Raw genomic sequence first — 13,917 nt, forward strand, 5'->3', positions numbered from 1 at the left:
TTTCCAACTGAGGTACTGGGTTCATCTCACTGGGGAGTGCTGGACAGTGGGTGCAGGACAGTGGGTGCAGTGCAACACACATGAGCTGAAGCAGGGCGAGGCATTGCCTCACCTGGGAAGCACAAGGGGTCAGGGAATTCCCTTTCCTAGCCAAGGAAAGGGGTGATGGATGGCACCTGGAAAATCGGGTCACTCCCACCCTAATACTGCACTTTTCCAATGGGCTTATCAAATGACACACCAGGAGATTATATTGTGTGCCTGGCTTGGAGGGTCCTATGCCCACGGAGCCTCACTCATTGCTAGCACAGCAGTCTGAGATCAAACTGCAAGGTGGCAGCGTGGCCGGGGGAGGGGTGCCCGCCATTACTCAGGTTTGAGTAGGTAAACAAAGCTGCAGGGAAGCTCGAACTGGGTGGAGCCCACCACAGCTCAAGGAGGCCTGCCTGCCTCTGTAGGCTCCACCTCTGGGGTCAGGGCACAGAAAAACAAAAGACAGCAATAACCCCTGCAGACTTCATTGTCCCTGTCTGACAGCTTTGAAGAGAGCAGTGATTCTCCCAGCATGCAGCTTGAGATCTGAGAATGGCCAGACTGCCTCCTTAAGTTGGTCCCTGACCCCCAAGTAGCCTAACTGAGAGGCAGCCCCCAGTAGGGGTGGACTGACACCTCACAAGGCCGGGTACTCGTCTGAGACAAAACTTCCAGAGGAACGATCAGGCAGCAGCATTTGCGGTTCACCAATATCCGCTGTTCTGCAGCCACCACTGGTGATACCCAGGCAAACAGGGTCTGGAGTGGACCTCCAGTAAACTCCAACAGAACTGCAGCTGAGAGTCCTGACTTTTAGAAGGAAAACTAACAAACATAAAGGACATCCACACCAAAAACCCATCTGTACGTCACCATCATCAAAGACCAAAGGTAGATAAGACCACAAAGATGGGGAAAAGACAGAGCAGAAAAACTGGAAACACTGAAAATCGGAGTGCCTCTCCTCCTCCAAAGGACTGCAGCTCCTCACCAACAACAGAATGAAGCTGGATGGAGAATGACTTTGACAAGTTGAGAGAGGAAGGATTCAGAAGATAAAACTACTCTGAGCTAATGGAGGAAGTTCGAACCAATGGCAAAGAAGTTAAAAACTTTGAAAAATAATTAGATGAATGGATAACTAGAATAACCAATGCAGAGAAGTCCTTAAAGGACCTGAAGGAGCTGAAAACCATGGCATGAGAACTACGTGATGAATGCACAAGCCTCAGTAACTGATGCAATGAACTGGAAGAAAGGGTGTCAGTGATGGAAGACAAAATGAATGAAATGAAGCGTGAAGATAAGTTTAAAGAAAAAAAGAACAAAAAGAAATGAACAAAGCCTCCAAGAAATATGGGACTACGTGAAAGGACCAAATCTACATCTAATTGGTGTACCTCAAAGTGACGGGGAGAATAGAACCAAGTTGGAAAACACTCTGTGGGATATTATCCAGGAGAACTTCCCCAATCTAGCAAGGCAGGCCAATATTCAAATTCAGGAAATACAGAGAACACCAGAAAGGTACTCCTCGAGAAGAGCAACTCCAAGACACATAATTGTCAGATTCACCAAAGTTGAAATGAAGGAAAAAATGTTAAGGGCAGCCAGAGAGAAAGGTCAGGCTACCCACAAAGGGAAGCCCATCAGACTAACAGTGGATCTCTCGGCAGAAACTCTACAAGCCAGAAGAGAGTGGGGGAAAATATTCAACATTCTTAAAAACAAGAATTTTCAACCCAGAATTTCTTATCCAGCCAAACTAAGCTTCATAAGTTAAGGAGAAATAAAATCCTTTACAGAAAAGCACATGCTGAGGGATTTTGTCACCACCAGGCCTGCCCTAAAAGAGCTCCTGAAGGAAGCACTAAACATGGAAAGGAAAAACCAGTACCAGCCACTGCAAAAACATGCCAAATTGTAAAGACCATCAAGGCTGGGAAGAAAGTGCATCAACTAACGAGCAAAATAACCAGCTAACATCATAATGACACGATCAAATCCACACATAACAATACTAACCTTAAATGTAAATGGGCTAAATGCTCCAATTAAAAGACACAGACTGGCAAATTGGATAAAGAGTCAAGACCCATCAGTGTGCTGAATTCAGGAAACCCATCTCATGTGCAGAGACACAAATAGGCTCAAAATAAAGGGATGGAGGAAGGATCTACCAAGCAAATGGAAAAGAAGAAAAGGCAGGGGTTACAATCCTAGTCTCTAATAAAACAGACTTTAAACCAACAAAGATCAAAAGAGACAAAGAAGACCATTGCATAATGGTAAAGGGATCAATTCAACAAGAAGAACTAACTACCCTAAATATATATGCACCCAATACAGGAGCACCCAGATTCATAAAGCAAGTCCTTAGTGACATACAAAGAAATTTAGACTCCCACACAATAATAATGGGAGACTTTAACACCCCACTGTTTACATTAGAAAGATCAACCAGACAGAAATTTAACAAGGATATCCAGGAATTGAACTCAACTCTGCACCAAGTGGACCTAATAGACATCTACAGAACTCTCCACCCCAAATCAACAGAACATACATTCTTTTCAGTACCACACCTATTCCAAAATTGATCACATAGTTGGAAGTAAAGCACTCCTCAGCAAATGTAAAAGAACAGAAATTAAAACAAACTGTCTCTCAGACCACAGTGCAATCAAACTAGAACTCAGGATTAAGAAACTCACTCAAAACTGCTCAACTACATGGAAACTGAACAACCTGTTCCTGAATGACTACTGGGTACATAATGAAATGAAGGCAGAAATAAAGATGTTCTTTGAAACCAATGAGAACAGAGACACAACATACCAGAATCTCTGGGACACATTCAAAGCAGTGTGTGAGGGAAATTTATAGAACTAAATGCCCACAAGACAAAGCAGGAAAGATCTAAAATGGACACCCTAACATCACAAATAAAAGAACTAGAGAAGCAAGAGCAAACAAATTCAAATGCTAGCAGAAGGCAAGAAATAACTAAGATCAGAGCAGAACTGAAGGAAATAGAGACACAAAAAAAATCCTTCAAAAAATCAATGAATCCAGGATCTGGTTTTTTGAAAAGATCAACAAAATTGATAGACTGCTAGCAAGACTAGTAAAGAAGAAAAGAGAGAAGAATCAAATAGATGCAATAAAAAATGACAAAGGGGATATCACCACCAATCCCACGGAAATGCAAACTACCATCAGAGAATACTATAAAGACCTCTACACAAATAAACTAGAAAATCTAGAAGAAATGGATAAATTCCTCAATACCTACACTCTCCCAAGACTACACCAAGAAGAAATTGAATCTCTGAAGAGACCAATAACAGGTTCCGAAATTGAGGTAATAATTAATAGCTTACCAACCAAAAAAAGTCCAGGACCAGATGGACTCACAGCCAAATTCTACCAGAGATACAAGGAGGAGCTGGTACCATTCCTTCTGAAATTATTCCAATCAATAGAAAAAGAGGGAATCCTTCCTAACTCATTTTATGAGGCCAGTATCATCCTGATACCAAAGCCTGGCAGAGACAACAAAAAAAGAGAATTTTAGACCAATATCCTTGATGAACACTGATGCAAAAATCCTCAATAAAATACTGGCAAACCAAATCCAGCAGCACATCAAAAAGCATATCCACCATGATCAAGTATGCTTCATCCCTGAGATGCAAGGCTGGTTCAACATACGCAAATCAATAAATGTAATCCAGCATATAAACAGAACCAAAGACAAAAACCACATGATTATCTCAATAGATGCAGAAAAGGACTTTGACAAAATTCAACAATGCTTCATGCTAAAAACTCTCAATAAATTAGGTATTGATGGGATGTATCTCAAAATAATAAGAGCTATCTATGACAAACTCATGGCCAATATCATACTGAATGGGCAAAAACTGGAAGCATTTCCTTTGAAAACGTGCACAAGACAGGGATGTCCTCTCTCACCACTCCTATTCAACATAGTGTTGGAAGTTCTGGCCACGGCAATCAGGCAGGAGAAGGAAATAAAGGGCATTCAATTAGGAAAATAGAAAGTCAAATTGTCCCTGTTTGCAGATGGCATGATTGTGTATCTAGAAAACCCCATCATCTCAGCCCAAAATCTCCTTAAGCTGATAAGCAACTTCAGCAAAGTCTCAGGATACAAAATCAATGTGCAAAAATCACAAGCAATCTTATACACCAATAACAGACAGAGAGCCAAATCATGAGTGAACTCCCATTCACAATTGCTTCAAAGAGAATCAAATACCTAGAAATCCAACTTACAAGGGATGTGAAGGACCTCTTCAAAGATAACTACAAACCACTGCTCAATGAAATAAAAGAGGATACAAACAAATGGAAGAATATTCCATGCTCGTAGGTAGGAAGAATCAATATCATGAAAACGGCCATACTGCCCAAGGTAATTTATAGATTCAATGCCATCCCCATCAAGCTACCAATGACTTTCTTCACAGAATTGGAAAAAACTACTTTAAAGCTCATATGGAAGCAAAAAAGAGCCCACATTGCCAAGTCAATCTTAAGCCAAAAGAACAAAGCTGGAGGCATCACACTACCTGACTTCAAACTATACTACAAGGCTACAGTATCCAAAACAGCATGGTACTGGTACCAAAACAGAGATATAGACCAATGGAACAGATCAGAGCCCTCAGAAATAATGCCACATATCCACAACTATCTGATCTTTGACAAACCTGACAAAAACAAGAAATGAGGAAAGGATTCCCTATTTAATAAATGGTGCTGGGAAAACTGGCTAGCCATATGTAGAAAGCTGAAACTGGATCCCTTCCTTACACCTTATACTAAAATTAATTCAAGATGGATTAAAGACTTAAATGTTAGACCTAAAACCATAAAAACCCTAGAAGAAAACCTAGACAATACCATTCAGGACATAGGCAAGGGCAAGGACTTCATGTCTAAAACACCAAAAGCAATGGCAACAAAAGCCAAAATTGACAAATGGGATCTAATTAAATTAAAGAGCTTCTGCACAGCAAAAGAAACTACCATCAGAGTGAACAGGCAACATACAGAATGAGAGAAAATTTTTGCAATCCACTTATCTGACAAAGGGCTAATATCCAGAATCTACAATGAACTCAAACAAATTTACAAGAAAAAAACAAACAACCCCATCAACAAGTGGGTGCAGGACATGAACAGACACTTCTCAAAAGAAGACATTTATGCAGCCAAAAGACACATGACAAAATGCTGGCCATCAGAGAAATGCAAATCAAAACCACAAATGAGATACCATCTCACACCAGTTAGAATGGCGATCATTAGAAAGTCAGGAAACAGCAGGTGCTGGAGGGGATGTGGAGAAATAGGAACAATTTTACACTGTTGGTGGGACTGTAAACTAGTTCAACCATTGTGGAAGTCAGTGTGGTGATTCCTCGGGGATCTAGAACTAGAAATACCATTTGACCCAGCCATCCAATTACTGGGTGTATATACCCAAAGGATTATAAATCATGCTGCTATAAAGACACATGCACACGTACGTTTATTGCGGCACTATTCACAATAGCAAAGACTTGGAACCAACCCAAATGTCCAACAATGATAGACTGGATTAAGAAAATGTGGCCCATATACACCATGGAATACTATGCAGCCATAAAAAATGATGAGTTCACGTCCTTTGTAGGGACATGGATGAAGCTGGAAACCATCATTCTCAGCAAACTATCACGAGGACAAAAAACCAAACACCACATGTTCTCACTCATAGGTGGGAATTGAACAATGAGAACACATGGACACAGGAAGGGGAACATCACACACCAGGGACAGTTGTGAGGTCGGGGGAGGGGGGAGAGATAGCATTAGGTGATATACGTACTGCTAAATGACGAGTTAATGGGTGCAGCACACCATCATAGCACATGTATACATATGTAACACACCTGCACATTGTGCACATGTACCCTAAAACTTAAAGTATAATAATAATAAAGAAAGAAAATATGAAGTAGAAGACATGTAGGATGAATAAGTCTAGAGATTTAATGTATCATGTGAAGACTATAGGTAATAAAAGTGTGCTGTATATGGGATTCATGCTAAATGAATAGATTTTACCTGCTCTCACCACAAAAAAAAATGGGTAACTATGTGAAATAATGGATATGTTAATTTACTTCATTATAGTAATCTTTTTACTATGTGTATCCCATAAGATCATGTTGTATACCCTAAATATATACAACAAAATTTATTTTAAAAAATCAAAAAAGAAAACACAGAGATATACTAAACCAAGTAAAAAGAAGATGGGTAAAGGATTTCAAAAGACATATATTCAAAGAAGATAACAAATGGCCCACAAGCACATAAAAAGATGCTCAACATTATTAGCCATTAGGGAAATGCAAGGAAATACCACTTCACATCCACTAGGATGACTGTAATGAAAAAGACAGACAAAAACAGTTGGCATTGATGTGCAGAATTGGAGTCTCATACATTGCTGGGAGGAATGTAAAATGGTGCAACTGCTTTGGAAAACAGTTTGACAGTTCCTCAAAATATTAAACACAGAATTACCATACGAACCAGCAATTCCACTCCTAAATATATATGCTGGAGAAATGAAAATGTATGTTCACACAAAAACTTATATACTAATGTTCATAGCAACATTATTCATAATAACCAAAGAGTGGAATCAAATCACATATTCATCAATGCATTTATCCGTTGTTGAATGGACAAGTAAAATGTGGTGTATCCTGCAATGGAGTATTATTCAGCAATAAAGAGAATGTAGCGCCAATATGTACTACAACATGGGTGAATCTTGAAAACATGCTAACTTAAAGAAGCTAGACACAAAAGAGTGGCTATTATACATTCAAGTTATAAGAAAAGTCCAGAAAAGGCAGATCTACAGAGATGAAAGTATATTAATGGTGGCAGACGATAGTTGTGATGAGAAACAACTGCTAATGGGTATGGAGTTTCTTTTTGGAGGATGAAAACGTTTTAAAATTGACTGTGAGGAAGTCACTCCTGTGAATGTACTAAAAACCATTAAATTGTACACTATAAGTGGGTAAATTATGTAGTATGTAAATATATCTCAATGAATCTGTTATTTAAAAAAGATAATAGTAGCCTAAATATGAATGATATTCAGGTGTTTAACTATTCTCAAATATCATTTTGAATCTTCTGCTTTAAAATATCTTCACAGAATTTGGAAACTCTTCTCTATGGTTGATTGACTAGTATTCGTTCCCTTATAAATTTTCTGTAATATTGCCAAAGTTATCCATCAACACTGAAAAATATATAGTTAAGTAGGTAGATGAAACCTGCAATTTCACTTTTTAGCCACCTGTATAAACAATGTTTAGGGAATAGGCTAATTTTTTTTAGAGTAAGAAAAGTTGCTAGAGATCTACCAAATGAGAAAATTGCATCTCAAAAATGTTAACTGATTCTCCAAAATTACACAGCCAAATGATGAGGATATTGTATATTTGAAAACCACTGTGATAGCCAGCCTCCACAATCATCTCCAATGATTCTCATCTCTTGGTATTCATATCTTTATGTAGGCCCCTCCTCCCTTCCCTCCCTCTCCCATCACTCACTCCAGGGAAACTAGCTGAAAGCCATATGACATTCATGAAGATAATGAAGAGGCCTGTGTGCCCAGGGCCTGAGGTCTGCTATCAACTCCATGAGTAAGCTTGGAAGTATATCCTCCCCTGCTTGAGCTTTCAGATGAGACTGCAGCCCCAGCTAAAAACCTCAGCCTGATTAAACCTCATGAGAGACCAAGACCCAGAATCATCCAGCTAAGCCACTCCTTAATTCCTGATCCACACCAATAGTGAAATAATAAATTATTTTAAGCTATGGGTTTGCAGAAATCTGTTATGCCATTATGGATAACTAGTACATATTTTTGCTCTTTACACTAAAACCTGCCTCTTACACAACTACTGTTATATTTACAATTGTTTTCTAGGATGCATTGGCTAAAATTCAAACGTTAATCACTCTGTGTGGGTTTGACTTTGATTTACATTTCTCCATTTAAGAAGAAAAAAATTAAACATTATATATTTTTGTCAATTTTTTTCTCCTAACTCTAGGAGTTTCTGTCTGTTTTGCAACATCAAAAGAGCAAGATATAGCATTTTAACGTGAGATAACTTCTCAGGTAAATTTTTACTGCTTTTGCCACAAGGCAATGAAATTCAGTCATATCATTTTCCTTCTGGTGGAGGCTCCAAAGGTTCATTGAAGCAGAGGGATACTGTAGACACTACTTTCAACTCTCTGGTTATGCTAAGTGTAAATGAACCTACTCGTGTTTCTCCATATGCTCTGGTCAAACTTCCCAAGAGTCTTTTAATGTTACTAAAAAACAAAGAGCCAGACAGGAAGCCAGACAGGAGGGAAATCATAGAGAAGAAAAAATTAGCATATTTTATCCTTTACACTGTGGAAGCAAAACATCCAAGAGGAGAGATATATTCAAGGAAAAGTTTATTATTACTGACATTCACGTTCTTCTGGTCTTAAAGACTCTAGCCACTGGCTTTAAGTCTCCTTCTTCCCTTTATTCATGTCATTATTATCAGTGACCTCACTATGAAAATTGAAGCAACCAAAGACATTCTCACTCTCTTCCCACCAAACCCGCCAATCAATCTGCATCTGTATCCACAAAGTCCCATCCATGCTTCTCTCTATGGCCAATACATTAATACCCCATGCCCTCTCAACTACTAAAGAATTTTACTTCCAATAGTTTCTACTCTCTCTTGCATCATCAATTCATCCCTCTTTATATTAATTTCAGAAACATATCAATATGCCTTGATGTCACTATTCTAAAAATGCCCTTACTTAACCCCATTTATCTGATCTTCCTGGGCAAAACCTCCAAGGCGGATGTTTATTTTTGATTTCTCTGTTTTGCCATCTTTCATTTTTGCCTTTATTCGTTCTAGTTGGGTTTTGGTCCCATTATTATACTGATATTATATTTATCAGTATTAATTATCATCTTTCACCATTTACAGTGGAAGCTTCCTTATCTTTATCTTAATCCCACATCCAATCAGGTAGTCATTCTATCCTATGAACATACTCTCCTCCCTTGGTTCCTAGGACACCACTCCTTCTCAGTCTTCCTCCTACCTCTCTGGCAACTTCTGCTCAGTCTCCTTTTCTGACTCTTCCTCTTCTGCCTGCTTTATAAATGTTACTATTTCTCAGGATTCAGTCCAATGCCATCTTTTTCCTCTACTCCAAATTCCTCATCTACTTCCAACACATGAAAATCCATATAAATGCCAAAGAATCCCACATTTATGCCTCTTGATTCATACATCCAACAGTTAATTTGTGGTCTCCAGTTGCCACACATGCATGTTAAACTTAACATGTCTACAACAGAACTCTTCATTCCCAAAACATTACTGTCCCTGGCATCCCCATCCACATAGATACTCAAGCCTGAAACTAGCTGGGGTGTTATCCTTGATTTCTTCTACTCCCATGACCTGTCTCCATATTCAACCCAATAACAAGTCCTCTATAGTCTACCTCCAAAATGTGTCTTGAATTCATGCACTTACTTCTATGTTCAATGTTGCCAACCTACTATTAGCCACCACCATCTTTCATCTATAATACTTAATAGCTCCCTTTTTCAGTTTTGCCTCCCACTAATCCATTCTTCACACAGTAGCCAGAAAAATCATCTAAAAAAAGACTGTTAAGCTCAATAACAAGCTCACAACTCCCTGACTACATCTTCACCCTCACCCAGTGTCATTCCCCCACTTATAAACTATAATCACATGGACTTTTCCTTTACTAGAGCAAATTAAGGTATTTCCTACCTTGCACCTTCATAATTACCATTGTAAATGGTAAATATTTAATAGCTCTCAGAAAATAGGCAACTTGTAGAGTGGAAAGAACGTAATAGTATATTAGTTATCTGTTGCTGCATTAAAAATTTCCCCAATTTCAATCTGCCTGAAGTAAGCCGCCACCCCTGTTCCATCTACCAGGTTCTTTGCCAGATTAGTTTCTTATTATTCCTCCTATTTGAGATTAAATATTACCTAATTTCTTAAACAGATTTCCTCTTCTCTCCTTTTTTAAATACATTTTTTAAACTTTTTAATTGTAAATTTGTCTAGTGCATCTCTACCCTTACTAGAGATACAAACTCTGCAAGCAAATTACCACGTCTTCTTCATTTTTTATTCTAAATCCAGTGTCTAGAACAATACTCTGAATATATTAAGCTCTTATTACTATTTGTTGAATTAATGATAATGTCATATGAGACTCATAGAATCAAAGAATATTCAGTTTGAGAGCTACAAAATCAAAAGACCTTTATAAGCAAACCGGCCTGTCTTTTGTAAAAGGTACATATGTTATCAACGTGCCTTGCATTTAAGAAGCTTATTAAACACTGTGATGCAAAATCTCTCCATTTCCTTCTCCATCAGCTGCGTATTTGTATATGTGTATGTATGAGATTGTATTTCTTTCTTAAAAGTCCTTGTATTAGGCCATTTTTGCGTTGCTCTAAAGGAATACCTGAAATTGGGTAACTTACAAAGAAAAGAGGTTTAATTGGCTCTGGGTTCTGCAGGCTGTACAGGAAGCATGGCACCAACATCTGGCTTCTGGTGAGGCTTCAGGAAGTTTTCAATAACGGTGGAAGGTGACAGGGAGCCAGCATGTCACATGATGAGAGCGGGAGCAAAAGAGAGAGAGAAAGGGAGGGGCCAGACTCTTTGAAACAACCAGATATCACGTGAAGTCAGAGTGAGAATTCACTTATCACCAAGGTGATGGCCCTAAGCCATTCATAAGAGATCACCCTCCATGATCCAAACACTTCCAACATTGGGAATTACATTTAAATATGGGATTTGGAGGAGACAAACATCCTAACGATATCCTTCTCTACTCTTCTCATTCCTGTTTCTAGTATCTTCAGATACAGATTGAACAGGATCTGTCCAAAAAAAAAAAAAAAGATGCTCTTGATTCCTCTTAGAGTAGTTGACCTAAAAAGGCCACCTATCAGAAGCCTAAAAGTGTCAGTATTTCCCTAGATACAAATGCCTGTCTCATTCTTTAACCACTAAACTAAATGATAAATCAAAGACACTCTAAGGGGAAAAAAAACTATCAGAAGTCTTACTTGTAAAGCAGAATTGAAGTTGAAAGAAAGTAGGGATGAGACACACTATATGGGCATCCGCAGCCACAGGGGAATCCTGCCAAAAAGTCAGAAATAGCTTCTCAAGGGTAACCATTTTCAATCTATTTTATTTCTTTTTATTACTCTTCCCAGGTAACACAAAACTTCAACTGATAGGAAACCTTTTAACAAATGCAGCTTGTAACACGGTCTATTTATATTCTTATTTTATTTGATTCAATTATTCTCCTATAATTCTCCTGGTATTAAAAGTCCTTTTGATGGCTGTTCTGTTTTTGATTTCCAAAGTCATTAACCTCCATTCCCTACGCAAGGTAAGGGAAAGCTCTGTGAATGACAGCCTTGTTTACAGGGAGCAGGAAAGGACTTGGCAGCTGTTCCAAAGTGTCAAATGAAATAGCCTGAAGAATGCTATTAAAAAGTGTCACCAAACGGGGAAACGACGTCACACTAATTAGATTGCCTCTTCGTTGTCCACTAATAGAATTCTCTGACACATAACTGTTGAGAGAGAAAGATTTGTTAGGAGGGAGGAATAGCGGGTAATCTTTTTTATACCTTTCATATGACTTTCACAGTCTTCAAAATCTCAAAACATAGAGATGGGCTTAAAATGCAAATAATGAGAAGAAACAACAACAACAAAGACTATATTAATTTGAATTATAACAGTGCCCTTTTGAGAATGAAGAATTTTATTTTTAATATCTCAGAGTCACTCTTATACACCAAACTTTTAGCTAAAATTAATGCTTTTCATCCATATCGAAAGGTATATCTGAGAGTATGCCTAAAATGTTCACTTGAACTGTCATTATTTTAGAAGCATATGATCAGGTAATAATCAGCCAAAGCCCTCTAAAACATTTATTTTTGGTATTCAATTTTCTATTCCCTTGTTATATTTAGTCCCTTGGTGGTTCCAATTTGTTCATTTAATAGGCATTTCTTAAATGACTACTCTGTGCAGGATCAATTCCAGTCAGTTAAAATCGAATCAGTTTTTTTTTTTTTTTTTTTTTTTTTTTTTTTTTTTAGGAGAGTCTTGCCCAGGCTGGAGTGAAGCGGTGCCATCTTGGCTCACTGCAACTTCTGCCTCCTGAGTTCAAGCAATTCTCCTGCCTCAGCCTCCCGAGAAGCTGGGATTACAGGTGTACACCACCAGGCCTCATTAATTTTTGTATTTTCAGTAGGATGGGGTTTCACCATGTTGGCCAGACAGGTCTCCAACTCCTGACCTCAGGTGGTCTCCAACTCCTGACCTCAGGTGATCTCCCCGCCTTGGCCTCCCAAAGTGCTGGGATTACAGACATGAGCCACTGTGCCCGGCCAAAATCTAATCAGTTTCTAAGTTGCACTAATCACATCTAGGAAACATCAAATGCTTTACAGTCTAGTGAGAAAGAAAGAAAAGTGGATGATCCCTGCTATAGCCAGTCATAAGAACATCCATGAGGCTCTATTCTCCTGTGCTTTCTCTGGGCATAACCCCTTCACCTAAATTCTAATCTTCTTCTTCAGTTAGATTCACCATCTTCACCTCAAAGTCAGGATGCTCAAGACAGATTTTTCATTCTTCCTAAGTCCTGCCTGGTTCTCATCCCCAGGTTTCTAATTGTCAAAATAATAACCCAAAATTAGCACTTGGTATGTGCAATGCACTGCGTTATGTGCATTACATGGGTTATCTGATTTAACCTTCAAATTATTCCTATGAACCAGATAATATTACTAGTTCACTTGAAAAGTAAGGAAACCAAGATTTAGAAAGGTTAAGTAACATGTTCAAATAACTAGGAAGTGGTTAACTTGCAGACAGATTTTGAAAAATCAGGCATTAGAGCTTCACTGTCCAATAGCCACATACAGCTAATGAGCATTTAAAATACAGCTAATGCAACTGGGAAAATTTTTTAATTTCATTAAATTAATTTAAATTTAATTTTAAAAACCAACAGTTAAGTTGGTTATTGAGTATGTGAATGTACTTTTCAACCATAAATTTATGAAATTTATGAAATCTAAATACAGATCAAGTATTTCTGATGAAAATTTAGCTTCCAAACTAATACATGCTATAAGTGTAAAATTAGACTTTGAAGACTTGGTATTAAAAACAAGACTGTAAAATATCTCATTGGTAATTTTTTATATTGACTACATATGGAAATATTTTAGATATATTGGGTTCAATAAAAACATATTAGTACAATGTCATCTATTTCTTTTGCATAAGAAAATTTAAAAGTGCAGATATGGCTCACATTATATTTCTTTTTTACTGCATAGAAACTACCTTTTTTTAATAATTTCAACTTTTGTTTCAGATTCAAGGAGTACATGTGCAGGTTTGTTACGTGGGTATATTGCATGATGCTGAGGTTTGGGTATGACTGAACCCATCACCCAGGTACTGAACATAGTACCCAATAGTTTTTCAGCCCTTTCCCCACTCCCTTCATCCTCCCTCTAGTAGTCCCCAGTGACTATTGTTCTCATCTTTATGTCATATGTACCCAAAGTTTAACTTCCACCTATAAGTGAGAACATGCAGCATTTGGTTTTCTGTTCCTGCATTAATTTGCTTAAGATGATGGCCTCCAGCTGCA

General features: G+C 38.1%; 1 annotated feature.

Moving 5' to 3' along the window:
• Positions 1 to 13,917: part of a centromere (Linear centromere model derived predominantly from reads generated in PMID: 17803354. This region does not represent an actual centromere sequence, as long-range ordering of repeats and unmapped WGS contigs is not provided by the model. For details of model production, see http://arxiv.org/abs/1307.0035.) that runs on past both edges of the window.

Source organism: Homo sapiens, chromosome 3 (assembly GCF_000001405.40).
Source record: "Homo sapiens chromosome 3, GRCh38.p14 Primary Assembly".
Lineage (NCBI taxonomy): Eukaryota > Metazoa > Chordata > Mammalia > Primates > Hominidae > Homo > Homo sapiens.